Raw genomic sequence first — 14580 nt, 5'->3', positions numbered from 1 at the left:
CTCTGTGGTAATCTTGAAATTGAGTTTGTGCTTTGTAAGTAAAGTCCAAGGGGCCAATGGAGTATGCATGCAACAGAAGCTTGGAGTTCTGGCACACAATTTGTAGCACCTCCCATAGACGAATTCTTCCTTCTTCCTCTCAGCCTCACCTCCAGCCCACTACCCTAGACACAGGGTGGCAGCGTCTAGGTCTGGTGAAGAAGGAGGACCTGGATGTGGGTACAGGAAGGCTGATCAGGCATGCATCACAGTCAGGTGGCCTGGCAGTTCCATGATGCAGCCAGCAGTCAACTCTTGTCCACCCCGAATCCAGATGTCTAGTGCCCTAGCTGGCAATCCCTTGGAAATCACCTGTCCATTAACTATGGGAAGAGGAGACTGACTTTCTCACCTTCAAGTGTAGGCTTACACTTTTTTTCACTTAGTTTTACAAATTACATAGATGAGCCTAGTGATCTTTGTTTCTGGAGGAAAGAGGCTTATACCAACTCTTTGTGAGAAAATACTGAAGCACCTACTCAGACAAGTCTATATGCAACAGCATTTTGTTTCAATTACATATGTGTGATGCGTTAGATAATAGCATAAAATTGGACTAATCGCTCAGTCACGTTTCTCAACAGAGGTGAGAAAACAAAACTGGATGTACATTAACTGGATGGCAAACAAGTGATGAGAAAGTACAAATCGGGTAGGAGAAAAATGGATAAAGAAATAACTTCTGTTGTTTGGAAACTTACAAACTCCTTTTAAATGGAAATCTGACCTTTTTCTTTTTGCAGCCAGGATAAAAAAAAATCCCAGGCAAACAATAAATCTAAAACAATTCAAAAATCATAGAAAAATTTCTTGTGATTAAAAAAGCTGTTACAAGAGTAATAGAATTTGGTATCTAATTTCTGGTCTTAAGACTGTCCATGTTGTGACAAATCACCCTGTTATATATAGGAAGATTCCCAAGATTAGCATTTACCTTTATCAAAGGGCAAAAAGAACTTTGAGGTCATAACTGAAGTGAGATTCATCCTTGGAAGAAAGAGTATTAAGTATTTGGAATTATATATACATTTTGTCCCAAGATGAAGTTTGGTGTTATGGAACTTTTATTATCTTTGGAAACATTTCCAAAGTTTTTGTGACTTAAAGATACTCATTACAAGACAGTTTCACTTACCAAGACAACATTAAATTGAGGTTTCAGCATACCAAAATATTTCATTAACATTATATCACAGAAGTCTGGATTACATTATTTTTTCCTCAGCTCTCTTGACAAGTTCCCACTTTTTAAATAGTTGTCATTTGTGGTATTAATTTGGAAAGGCAAATACAGCAGGAAAAAAGTTAAGAAACATAAGTTGTATGTTTCTTAGTATCACAGCCAATAAACTGTCTCAAAAACAGACTGGCAGGCATTCTGAGGTGCTACTAAAACAAGAGGCAGTGAAACATGAGAAACCATACAAAGGATGACGAAACAGAAGAGGAAAAAACATTTATTGGTTTTCTCATTCTCACTCCTCAATATGAATGGCAAGTAAAGACAGATAAATGCCTTCTGGGACACATTTCCTAATACGCAACAGAAATCTGTCCCTAAGCAAAGAGATGGCTGCACTTGTCATTGATTAATTAGCTTATAAATCCTGGGAGGATAACCTGTATATTCAAGGACTGCTAAGGACTATAGAAGACAGTGAAGAAAAAATTCAGAGAACACAAGATTGTAAAAAGAAAGAATGCAAAGAGGCTCAAAGTTCCTCTGTTTATCTTCATATCAAATATGAGAATGAGGACTGAAAACTGAAAGAAATTTTCAAGGTTATTCTCTCCCTCTAGCCACTGAGATAGCTCCCTGTAGCCTGCATAATTGCTCTCCCTAAAAAGTGGGGCCAGAATAGGAAAGTTCTTTAGAAATCTTTTATCAGTGCCATCTCATCCAGTGGAAAGATTGTCAACACTTCAAGAACATATTACCTCTAATGAGCTGGGGCACCTCCAACTAGTCTCTAGTTTCCCTTTCTTGGAGGTGTAACATTTGATAACATAGCATGGGATTTCCAGTCAGTTCTGCCACATGCTAATTGGATGACCTTGGACAAGATACCATATTTTGTAAAACCTAAACCATCATTGAATTTAAGATACACTAATATTTTTTCTGTCACTCAGAAAAATCAAACAAAACTGCCAGTTATCTTCATGAGACACATCAATATTAAGAAGCAGTCCAATTTCAAAGATGTTAAAATGTGAAAAATGTGCATCTCAAAATTGATGAAGTATGATTCTTAATTTTCTAAGCCACAACTTCCTCACCTGTAATATGTGGACAGAAGCTAATTTACATTTTTGAGGATTTAATGAGATGAAGCAGGCTGCATAGCAGCTGCATCATAACATTTCAATCAGGTTTAACTGTTGTTGTTGCTATTATTTTTTCTTGAATCTAGTTAGACCCAATGTTTTAAAGAATCTATCCAATAGGTGAGGCAGAATCAATCTACCCTGATCACAATAGACTAGGAACAATCTTGTGAGAATTTCTACTAGCAATCCAGTAAGCATACATAATCTCTCAAGAAAGCCTGTGTTGCAGAACTGCCAGCATGAAGTGTCACAAGCAGAATCCCCAGAAGTGTTTCTGATCACCTCTTGGCTCTCCCACAGGGTCCTCCTTTAAAAAATGCAGCCAGCTGAGCCCCTCTCTGGAGCTCAGAGATGATCATAGCCAAAGGTAGTATGACTGCAGGTCATGATTAATATTGATTCTTTCTTTTTTATGTGGTACAATTGTTCTGTGTGTTCTTTATATGAAACTCTTCTCTTTCCACTTGTGTATAATGTGAAAAGGGAATGTGGGGAGGGGTTGAAAATGCATGAAATTTTATAAAAGTTTTTTTTTTAATTTTGACTAACAGTCAAATTAAATCAGCTAAGTGAATCTATACTGCAGGCACAAAGGAGAGAAACCAGTGTTATTTTCCTGTGAGTGAAACACTAGAGAATCCATGCCTTTGAAATGTACTTGTAAGAAGCATGATTGGTATCAGCTGTGAGGACAGAGTCACCAATATAGAAATAATGAGAAGGAGAGGCCTGCAGGCAGAAACACCATGAAGAGTATGATGAGTATGTGCATGACTGAAGATCAATATGTTCAGAAGATGATGGAATGGGTTTCAATGAGGAGAAAGAATTGATTGAGATAGCTCAAGTGTGTGCAGGAAGACCAAGAAGGACTGAGAATCTGACACCTGTCAACATTGACCTGAATGACATGGTGGCCTCCCTGTTACACGTTGGCTGCTTTTCTGTGTAGGTTAAAGATAAAGCATGATATGAGTACAAATGAATAAATGTGTTCTTATTTTAAGGATCAAAAACTTTACATCTTCAAAATTATTTTCAAACGCTTAATTCTCCTAAAATTACTTCTAATGAGATGGCAAATTTGTCTAAGGCCTGTAGCATAGTGCCTAGTGCATGGACAAGCCTTGGAAAAATGTTTAAGTTTGCCATTTCTTTTACAGTTTAATCCAAAAAAAGTCATAGTAGACTTGAACTATGTCCATAGTAACATCACTATTACATATTCTTCTTACTATCAAAAGCCTCCGGCCTTATTGTGAAGAACTACATGCTTATTTCTTTGAGACCATTAAAAGAAGTGAATATCTCTTGTTGTACCAATGGGCTTGGAGACCCGCTTGGAAAAACTTCTTGATCTAGAAACTACTAGTGTAGACTAGTCAAGTGCCCAACCTATTTTATAGGATGGCTATTTTCCTTCCCTTGATTTTATTATCATACTTTCCCCTAACTGTACATTATACTCCTTATTAAAAATATTTCTGCCAAAGCAATCATAACTCATTAGGAAACTTCCATCTTTTTCCTTGCCTTCCATATTTATACTTAGATCTAGAACCCTAACATGATCATGTAGTAACATTTTAGATAGCTTTTGAAAGTAATTATTTTTCATAATCATCAACTTCCCAAAATCCCTAAATACATCTTTAAACATTTCATCATTGAACTAACAGATTAAACAACATATTTACAATCTTTAGGCATGTTCTTATGACATTGCAAGGATCAACTCTAAATTTCTACTCTAAACTTTTCAGGGAAGAGCTGTGTTAACTTAATGAGGCTTTGCTTGCACTGTGCAAAATGAACAAGTATTGGTCTCCACTGGGAAGATATGAATTATTATTTCAACAAATATATATAATCCCTGACTCTATACAGCTTAAAGTCTAGAGTCTGCTCCAAATAAGTTCACCAACAATTTAAACATAGTATAATAAGTGCTGTGATAGGAATATCCACAGCAATATGTTAGAAGTAACATATCGAAAGGGCACTTCAGCCAGAGTAGTGGTTTAAGGAGAGATTCTCAGAAGTGGCATTCTCTACACTGAGGCTTGCACTAATCATAGGGTGAAGAACACGAGCCTTCCAAAGTACCACTTTGGGTTTTCTGGTTTTCCAGATCATTCATTGTGCCAATCCTCTCCACTGCCTTCTTACTTGAGGAAGAGGTGCCCTCGAAATGTCAGCCAGTGTTCTGGATTTAACTTTTCCTAGTGTCTTATTTATTACTCTTTTGATTAAAAATAAGAGAATCACTTCAACCTTGTTTAATCAAAGAAGATGTACAGGGAAGATGATGGGATAATGATAGAAATCTAGTAGAAGGGAGAAACCTTAGAAGAAGCTCAGAGCAGAAACAGGAAAGCCAGCAGGAATGTGGGCAATATCTGCCTCTCTCTGTCCTTTCCTGTCCGTCAGTCCCTGATTTCTTTATGCCCCTCTTGCTTTTTCTTTTTTCCGCTATTCTAATTGCTGTGATGGGCATACACACAGTGCATTCAGAGCCTGAGTACATACGGCTACATTTTATGTCACCCACAGAAATAAATAAACTTCTCAGGCCCAATAAGAAATTTCTAGGAAAGAGATTCTGCCAGTCAGTATCTGCTGTAGTCAATAGAGTATTGTCATAAAGCAGAAAAGAGGTTCACTGGCTCAACTGAGTAAAATGAGCACATCTCATTGATGAAACTGTGACCTGATAGACCCTTCAAAGAAGTCTACTCCACTCTATCTTCAGGAACATTGCTTTTCATCATTCTACTGGCCTTTATTTCTATCTTTTAAGGATTTCAAGCTTGCAAAATCATGAAATTCATCTTTTTCCCTTAAATAACATTTCACTTCTGCCTCAAATTCCAATACAAACTCTTTTTAACAATTTTTCTTTATCCTTCTCTATTTCCATATCAGTCAAGCAATTTTCACACTGCAAAAACATGTATTTGTTATCACAGAATCCTTCTTTTTCCACCCTAAAACTTCCCCTTCTTTTGGGTGTTGGAACGCTGTGTTAAGGTATTTCCACTCTTCCTTCCCCTTTTATTCCCTTACCTTTTTCCCATTGATCTAATGTAGGCATCTCTTTATTTAAGATAAATTAAGCTTGGTTCTTGGCCTCAAATACTTTTCTCTTGGAAAAAAAAATGAATTTAATTCAATGACATTAATCACCCAAATCTATAAACCTCAACCAATGATTCCTCTGTGCTCCTAGACCCATATCTGAACTTTTATTATTTATTTTTTTCTCATTAACTCCTCACAGCCAGTCACTCACCATGTCTGGCTGATTCTTTCTTTGAAATGTCTTTTCAGATTTTTTTCAACCCACCTTGAGAACCCTAGTCTAGTTTTCTCATTATTGCACACCTGGAGAACAAAACAGTCATCTTTCTGGCCTTTGTGCTTTCATCTCTGTTGTGATAATTCTTTAAAAAACATTCTTATCTTATATTCAACTATTTCTCTGGCTCAAGAACTTACCACAAAAAATTATTGCTTCGCGAAATAAAGCCAAACTCTAAAGAAAGCATAGAAAACTGTACATTACTTGGTTCATTTTATCAGATAAATGATCCTCAATTTCATTCCTCTTAACCCAGCAAGGCCAGACTTTTGATGTCTCAAGGGTCTTTCCCATCTTTGCTGAGAGTCTTGTTTCACCCAACTACCACATCTTTTACATGTCTTTTAAATTCCATTTTGCTCATCCAAATCCATCATATTTTTTAGGACCTGTCTTGCTTCACCCTACAAGGATCATTCCCAAAGCCCCCTATCATGTTTCTTATACTGTGTTGTTAAAATATTGTTTTATGGATATTTTTAAATGTTTACTTCCTCAATTAGATTTAAAAACCATGAGTGAGAAGACACAAACACTCTGCATAGAGTCAGGCATGCAGTATACCAGTGGCTATAAACAGGCAGCCTATGGGCCAAAACAGATCCACTGAGATGCTACGTATCTCATAAACATTTAAATATCCAGAGATTTCACCTAAAATATGGTATCCTAGCTTCTCCAAAAAATAGAAATGCATTCTGTGATAGGCAGAATAATTGCCTTAAATGCTTAAAATGTCCACATCCTACTCTTTAGGACCTGTGAATATGGTATGTTACATGGTGTTATGGTAAATTGTATGTGTCAACTTGACTGGGATAAGGGATACTTAGATAGCTGGTAAAACATTATTTCTAGGTATGTCTGTGAGGGTACTCCTGGAAGATAGTAAGTTAATCAGTGGCCTAAATAAAGAAGATCGCCTTCACCAATGTGGATGGGCATCATTTAACAAACTGAGGGCCTGAGTAGAACAAAAAAAGTGGAAAAGGCATATTCACTCTCTTTTTTTGAGCTGGGACATCCATTCTCTCTTTCCCTTGAGCACCAGTGCTCCTGCCTCTTGGGCTTTCAGACTTGGGACAGGATTTACACCATCAGCTCCTGATTCTGAGGCTTCCATATTTGGACTGAATAACACCCCTGGCTTTACTGGTTCTCCAGCTTGCAAACAAGAGAATCTCTCAGCCTCCATAACCAAGTAAGAGAATTCCTATAATAAATCTCTTCTGATATAGATTTATACAGATCCTATTGGTTCTGTGTCTTTAGAAAATGCTAACACACATGGCAAAGAGAAATTAAGGTTGTTAATAAACTGACTTTAAAATAACAAGGTTATCCTGGATTACTCAGGTAGGCCCAATGTAATAGCACAAGGGTCCTTTACATGTGGAAGGGGGAGGCAGAAGAATCAGTGTCAGGTGATGCAGGGTCAAAGACTTCACACACCATGTTTGACTTAGAAGATGGAGGGGTACAAGAGCCAAGGAATGTGGACAGCCTCTAGAAGATGTACAAGGTAAGGAAATGATTTTCCCTCAGAGCCTCCAGGAAGAATGTGGCCCTGCCAACACCTTGGCTTCAGCTCACTGAGACCCATTTCACACTTCTCACTTTTGAGAACTATGAGATAATAAACTGGTGTTTTGTTTTGTGTAGCCATCAAAGTTGTGGAAATTTATCATAGCAGCAATGGGAAACAAATATGCATGCACGCATTAGGCCCCTGTTGCTGCACAGCATCCTTGGGAGCTGAGTGGTAGGCGCACATTTTCTACTTCAAAACAGTTATCACTCTTCCTACTTTTGACATCATAAGCATTTGACTTCATGACACCTAAAACAGTCATTCAATAACTAGATGACCATAAGAATTACTAACGCTATTATGTATAATATTAAATGCTATGTTTCATCAAATAAAAGCATTGAGAAAATGTGTTCATGATTGAATAAAATTGTAGAATATAATGTCCACAAAATATAGCCTACAAAATCGTAGTTTAAGGTCTGCCTGCAGCTTTAAGTGATAATAGTGTTGCTGAGTAGAAATATTTCGATGCACTGTGGCAGGATGTTAGTGGTGCTAGATAATTTTATTAATGCAGAATGTACAAGCATTATATGGCATCCTAAACTGGAAACTGAAAGAAAAGTTGATCGTCAACACAGTTATCCATAGACAATTGAGCTAATTAAGCATGTGTTCTTCATCCTGTTATTTAAGAACATCTGATAGTAAGTATTGCGTAAAATGAACAATTCCATATGTCCAATACCGTTCATTTATATGTGCCTTACAAGCTTGAAAAGATACTACAGAGTGCTCTTTTCCCTGACCAAATTCAGATGTTTAAAGCTTTTTTTTTTTTTTTTACAATCACAGAACTGCTTTGTTTTAGCTTGAAAGCTTTGGAGAATATTTCTGTTGTAGCTAGTGAAATGATCATTTCAGAATTATTGTGACTTAGAAACAGGTAAAAGGACATTTCGGCTGCAATGATTTTTTTTTTCTTTTTTGAGACCGAATTTTGCTCTTGTTGCCCAGGCTGTAGCACAATGGCACGATCTCGGCTTACTGCAACCTGTGCCTCCCGGGCTCAAGTGATTCTCCTGCCTCAGCCCCCCAAGTAGCTGGAATCACGCCCAGCTATTTTTTGTATTTTTAGTAGAGATGAGGTTTCCTCATGTTGCCCAGGCTGCTCTCGAACTCCTGATAGGTGATCCTCCCGCCTTGGCCTCCCAAAGTGCTCGGATTACAGGTGTAAGCCACCGCGCCCAGCAGGCTGCAATGATTTAAAAACAAAACAGACTCAAAGAAGTAAGACTGGAAACCAATAGGATTCTGCTTTTGTAAGCTGAATGAAACCACTGGATCCCTGTAACCCCAGAAAAGGCTTTCACATCTATGTCTTAGTCACTCAGGATGTGCCACTAGAGATAGGACTAAGCCCAGATGCTGCTCCATCACTGAACTTTTGGATAAAAACTCAGGCAACAATCACCATTCAGACTCTTCTGAACAGTTTAAAGGCAAATTACATTTCAGAAAGAGTACTATTTTGTACAACACCTCAGAATGTAATTTCATAAAACTGTTTTAGCACTTCCTTTCCTCTACAACAATTATTCTCTTGAAAAGATGTATGATTTTTTTTTCTTGAGATAACGATTATGGAAGCCTAATAGATGTCATCATGACGAAATTCCATCCTAATTTCCTCATTCAGTAGTTTAGTCTTAAATTGCCACAGACTTGTTATTCTGTTTCTGAATCTCTCCCTTAGAATGGCTGCCAATCAAGTTAATCTACTCAATATGAAGTTTCTATGATGAAAATCCAACTTGTTCTTTAGCTAAAGGAATCCGCACTGGTGAACTTACCAAGTCAAATATGAACCCAAACAAATGATAGAAATTTGAAAACTCACTGTTTCATAGACCTTTGGTTTTAAATTGAATAAAATATCCCAAGACCTGTTCATGGAGTTCTGTGAGTTTTTCTCCCTGCTGTGAATTCACTTTCTTAAATGGCTACTTTTGAAGCCATTAGCCTTTTTAGTAATTAAATTTGAGTCACCAAGGGAGACTCCAAATTCAAGTACAGAACTAATATTCACTGAATCACTGCTATTTGGCAAGCATTTTCCTAGTCACTTTAAATATGCTTTTTATTTAACAACTTTGATATGTATGTATTATTTTCTCCCATCTGAAGATTAAAAAACCAAGGCCCAAAGAAATCACACAAGCCAACAGGTATATAGAAAGCCATTCTGACTCCATGTTCCTTCCATTATCACTAGTGTAAACCCCTCAGACTATCCACTTTTATATGGATGGTGCTGCAAAGAGCCTCAGCCAATTCTAGCATCTGGACCTTTCAAATTCCTCCCACAAGCTAATGTTGCATTTGTTTCTGCGATTTTCTGTTGGTACATGAAATATTTTATATTATAAACATTTTATATTACAAACAATTTAAAACACAGTTTTACATACAATAATACACTCTCATTTATTAGCTTCAAATAAATACTGCCTGATGTCATTTTCAGAATGAGAGGCCATCATGGATTCAATTTTTTTTTAAGCCTTTACCCATAGCTGAGATTTCTGTATCTTTTTCAAACTACATGCTCATGGTTACTCCATGTTTCTTTCTTTAATATGGTTTTACTTTCAGAGGATTCCAAAAGGTTCAATTCTTAGGAACAATATAGTATAGTTGGGTAATTAATTAGAAATACTGAAATAAGCCTTTTATACTTTCTAATTTCTTTTTATTCACAAGCATGATTTCTTTGACATGCACATACTCTTTTTAAAAAATTATTTAACAATTTTCTTAAAACTTTATTACAATATCTTATAGTTCATGTTTAGTAAAAAAAAAAAAAAAAAGAGAGAGAACAAAAAAGATAAGAAAAATTTAAAATCTCATCACCAAAAAATTACTGTTAATATCATATGCATATCCTGGTAATCCTTCTTCCATATAGATAAATACTTTTTTAGAACAAAATATATAATATGATCTTGTATTCTCCTTTTCCACTTAATTTATCAGAGACCATTTTCCATGTAATTAAATATTATTTTACATCACCATTTAAGTGTCTTAGTATTTTCTCATTTTAATAAAGCATAATTCAATTTCTATTAACCGGCTATTGTTGAAGATAAAGGTGTTACCAACTTTTTGCCATTATAAAATGGAATTGCTGATGCTTCATATGAAAGACACACTCCCAACAGCACTCATGGAAACGATTAATATATTCCACACGCTAACAAAGACTGTCTATTATATTTGTTTAAAAATATTTGTCAGTGTGATCATCCAAACGGTAGTTTATTTATTTAATTCACTTGTCCCACGTGCTCTCCTCTTGCTGACCTATACTTGCAACAGTGACCTACACCTCAGAGCAACAAAAGTGATTTGTGGTAAATCACGACCAAAATACATTTATCAGCCCTTCCCAGTCCTCAAAGTGGAGTGATAATGGGACTAGCAGCCCCGCTGACTCAATGAGGTAGACAGATTAAAAGAAAAAAAAGCACTTAGAAAAACAGATACTTTACGGGGAAAGGACGCACATATGGCTAAGTGCACACCATGCAGCCATCTCTCTCTCCTTTCTTTTACTGAACGGTGCTTTTACTGAATTGACAAAGAGGGCACTGGGTTCATAAATAGACTCTAACAGCACTTTCAGAGCACTTCGGTTCAATTATCATGAATTAACTTTAAAAACAGCATTAACTTTTCAGCATATACAATGCACCCAAGAAGAACAACATAGTTAGGAGTTCGTTCTCTCTCATTGAACTTTTCCCTTTTTATGCTCGAAACCAGTAAGTAGCCTTCAAGAAAAGGCTTCTTGTTCCACTGATAGGTTGTCACTTAGTCGTCAAAACTGTGTAGTGTGCCCAAGACTGTCTCTGGCTTGAAATGGCTGCTTGATTAGACAGCGAGGATTTACAAGGGAAGAGTACAGTCCATTTCTGGACAGAAATGTAGATAAAGAAGTATGAGAGAATAATCAGTTCCCCCGCAACTTCACCTTGATGCTGTGGGTGTTCAGATCTACAGGTTTGAATCTTTAATCACTCATCTGAAGATGATCAGTGATCAGTTTATAATCCACAATTATAGTTTAGCAATTTATACTTTAATAATTCTGGAGTCAAAAAATTGTGCATTTCATTCACAGGCCACCTTCTCGTCATCAATATACTTCAGAAAAGATGGTAATTATGTTAAGCCAATTATTTAATTAAAGGGAATTATACCAGAATCAGTTAAGAAGCTTTTCTTAAACTATTCATCTCTGTATTTTTTACTATTTCACCCAGACTTTCTAGTGTTATCTAGCAACTGCTGACACAAGTATCTGTTCCCCTATGATATGAAGTGGCACTCCTCTACTGTGGTGAAACAGATAAGAATGTGTATTAAAGTATCATGGCAAAGGAACTCAGTTGTTTCATGTATCATTCCAACCAGACTCTAGCAAGAGGCAATGCCAATAAATACTTATTAAGCATTTATTGTGTGTCAGGCATTAGGATAGGTGATGTTATTTAATTTATTACTCACAACTATCCTGTCATGTGATTAACCTAATTTCAAAGATGAGGAAAGAGAACAGAGTTCAGCAATGTTTCCAAAGACAGATGATTAACAAGAGGCAACACGGTACCCAATGCATGTCTCCTGAGTCTAATATCAAGTATTAAGTTAGTTTTATGCTACAGAATATAATTTTCTAGTTGCCGTTTAGATCCACTAGATAGAAGTGCCTTCCCAATTTGAAGATAAATTACTTCTTTACAGTTCTTTCATTTCTAATATGCCTTAATATCAGCCAATCAAAGCACATCTTATTTTAACATTCCCTCAAGATTGGTGAGAATTTATGTGTGTGGGAGGGGAGGGGGTGGTGTTTCTGGAGGTCCTGCAATACCAGGTCAATGCATGGAGTGGACAGGACAAGCTCCTATTCCTTCTCTCTGTTCCAAAAATCCATTAAATATATTGTCCTCAGATAAAGGAGATCTCAGATATTAAACTGATAAAGATAGATATTACACTTGATCTTAGTCAAAAGGTTGAGAAGTGATTGATGAGGAATCTTATATTGGTGATATTTTAGATAGTATCTGGAAGATAACAATCATTTTACTGAGATTTAAAAGATGCCTGACTCATTCTAGGAGTCCATCGGCAATATATGCAACCTCGGCTTTTAGGTAGTAATATATCTGTAGATGCAAATCTCATCATTTGAATAGACAGTTAACTTCATTTTTATCAGGTGACAATTTTTAACTGAGTCCATAAATTCCACAGACACATCTACAATGCCTATACACACTAAACTTTTCAATAAAGCTCTGATTACGAAAATTCTCCACTTTAATCCTGTGCTCTACTCTTTAAATTTGAAGATTCAATATTTTTAAAAAATCTCATTTAGGAGTGATGCCCCTTTTCCATCAAGAAGAAAGTTGCAAAGGTAGGAAATAGCAGGATGAGAAATAAGACTTAATCTCTATATAACACTTAGCCAATAATCAATAGATTACAACTGCAGAATTTTTAAAAAGCAAGGGTACCAATTAATTAGTATATATAATTCATCATTTTAAAGTTTGTCCCTAGTTTAGCAAAAGCTAGTATTAATTTCTCAGCTATCTTTATTCCATTTTGGTAATTTATTACATGCTACACAAAGAGATCCCAAACAACTGCATACAGGACATTTTACCAACCTGTATTAGATTTGGCTTCTGCTGAATAGGACAATGCTTTATGCTTTAAAATAAAAAAGTGTCCCTCAGAAGCACACTTAATAGGGCAGAGATTCTTTTAATTGTAATTATTATTACTAAGAACATATCTTGAGGAAACAACTATCCCTAGTGATAAGTAGGACAGGATTCATTTATTATATGTCCTACCTTGTAGGTCCTTGAGCTCAGGAAAATGAACAAAGAAACTTTCAAACCTTGTTTCAATAAAATGTTATGAACAAAGTTTGCTATAATAAATTTTGATATTAACATGCAAGGTAAAACTCTGTAGAGCAAGACAAATATAATATATTCTTATGAAATCAATAATTACAGTAACATCCTAAAATCTATTTTAAATAACTTTTAATTTTGCTAAACTAATTCAGGATACACTCAATGTCTTCTCTTGCACTTGTCTGATCCCAGGTTTGCACATCGCTTTCTTCAAATTGGGCTTTCCACCTTCTACCCCTAAAATTTAAATATTTTTTTCATTCATTTTTCAGTTATAGTTTTTTTCTACATCTCTAGAACATGATATTTTGAATTAGTATATTCTCCACTTAGGGTCTCTTAAATTTTCTGTTAAAAGTTCATGTATATGGACCAGGCACAGTGGCTCGTGCCCATAATCCCAGCACTCTGGGAGGCCGAGGTGGGCGGATGGCTTGAGCCCAGGAGTTCGAGACCAGCATGAACAATATGGCAAAACCCCATCTCTACAAAAAAATGCAAAAATTGGCCAGGCATGATGGCACATGCCTGTAGTCCCAGCTACTCTGAAGGCTGAGGCAGGAAGATCGATTGAGCCTGGGAGGTCAAAGCTGCATGAGCCATGATCATGCCATTGTACTCAACCCTGGATGACAAAATGAGACCTTGTCTCAAAAACAAAAAGAAAAGTTCATGCATATGATTAAGATGAAGCACAGCACACTCAATCAGTTTTCTCTCACAGAGAGGAAAGTTTATCTTCAGTTCCAACTGTTAGGCATGAGGAGAATCAGATGTGAATGGTAAGAAAAGGTCTTTGTTCATGTGCAATGAAGTAAAATGTTTAACATCACTAAAAGCCACCCTCTCTAATCTTCTCAAGACAAAATTTCTGCCACACTCACTCAATACTTTATAAATTACTTATAGCACATATCATACCAGACATTGTTGCTTGAAATAAAAGAAATGGTCTCAGATGACAGAAAGCATATTCAATTCATCTTGGAATCATAGTTTTTAATAGGTGGCCTAAATTATTAGTTGCGGTTTAACTAAATTATTTTTCTCAGATATTTACTCATAAAAAATAATAAAAAAAATCTTCTGGCTTTTGCTTAAAGAACAAGCTTGTGGCAAGATAGTAATGTGAACAGCATTAATACTATCAGGAAAAATTGGGAAATGCTTTGAGAAATGCAAAAGCACTGCTGGATGTACTGTCTAGTATGCCTTTCTTGGTTACCTCTGCCTTCCATTGTCTTTGAGCTATTTTATAACCCTGTAAATTGTAGAAAACTGATAATAATGCAAATTACTCCTCTCTG

General features: G+C 36.1%; 2 pseudogenes across 1 annotated transcript in view, besides 1 other annotated feature; both read right to left on the bottom strand.

Moving 5' to 3' along the window:
• EGFEM1P (EGF like and EMI domain containing 1, pseudogene) overlaps positions 1-14580 on the bottom strand; it is a 581078-nt pseudogene that overhangs the window by 343038 nt on the left and 223460 nt on the right. The gene's annotated exons all lie outside the window — the stretch shown is intronic.
• Positions 10624-10824: a silencer, noted in NCBI's record as "peak4911 fragment used in MPRA reporter construct". NCBI's record gives its function as "represses an SCP1 promoter by STARR-seq MPRAs in K562 erythroleukemia cells {active_cell/tissue: K562}" and the evidence as "EXISTENCE:reporter gene assay evidence [ECO:0000049][PMID:32103011]".
• On the bottom strand, positions 12174-12364 carry RNU2-20P (RNA, U2 small nuclear 20, pseudogene; annotated as a pseudogene).

Source organism: Homo sapiens, chromosome 3 (genome assembly GCF_000001405.40).
Source record: "Homo sapiens chromosome 3, GRCh38.p14 Primary Assembly".
Taxonomy (NCBI): domain Eukaryota; kingdom Metazoa; phylum Chordata; class Mammalia; order Primates; family Hominidae; genus Homo; species Homo sapiens.
This window is presented reverse-complemented; position numbering and strand designations above follow the sequence as displayed.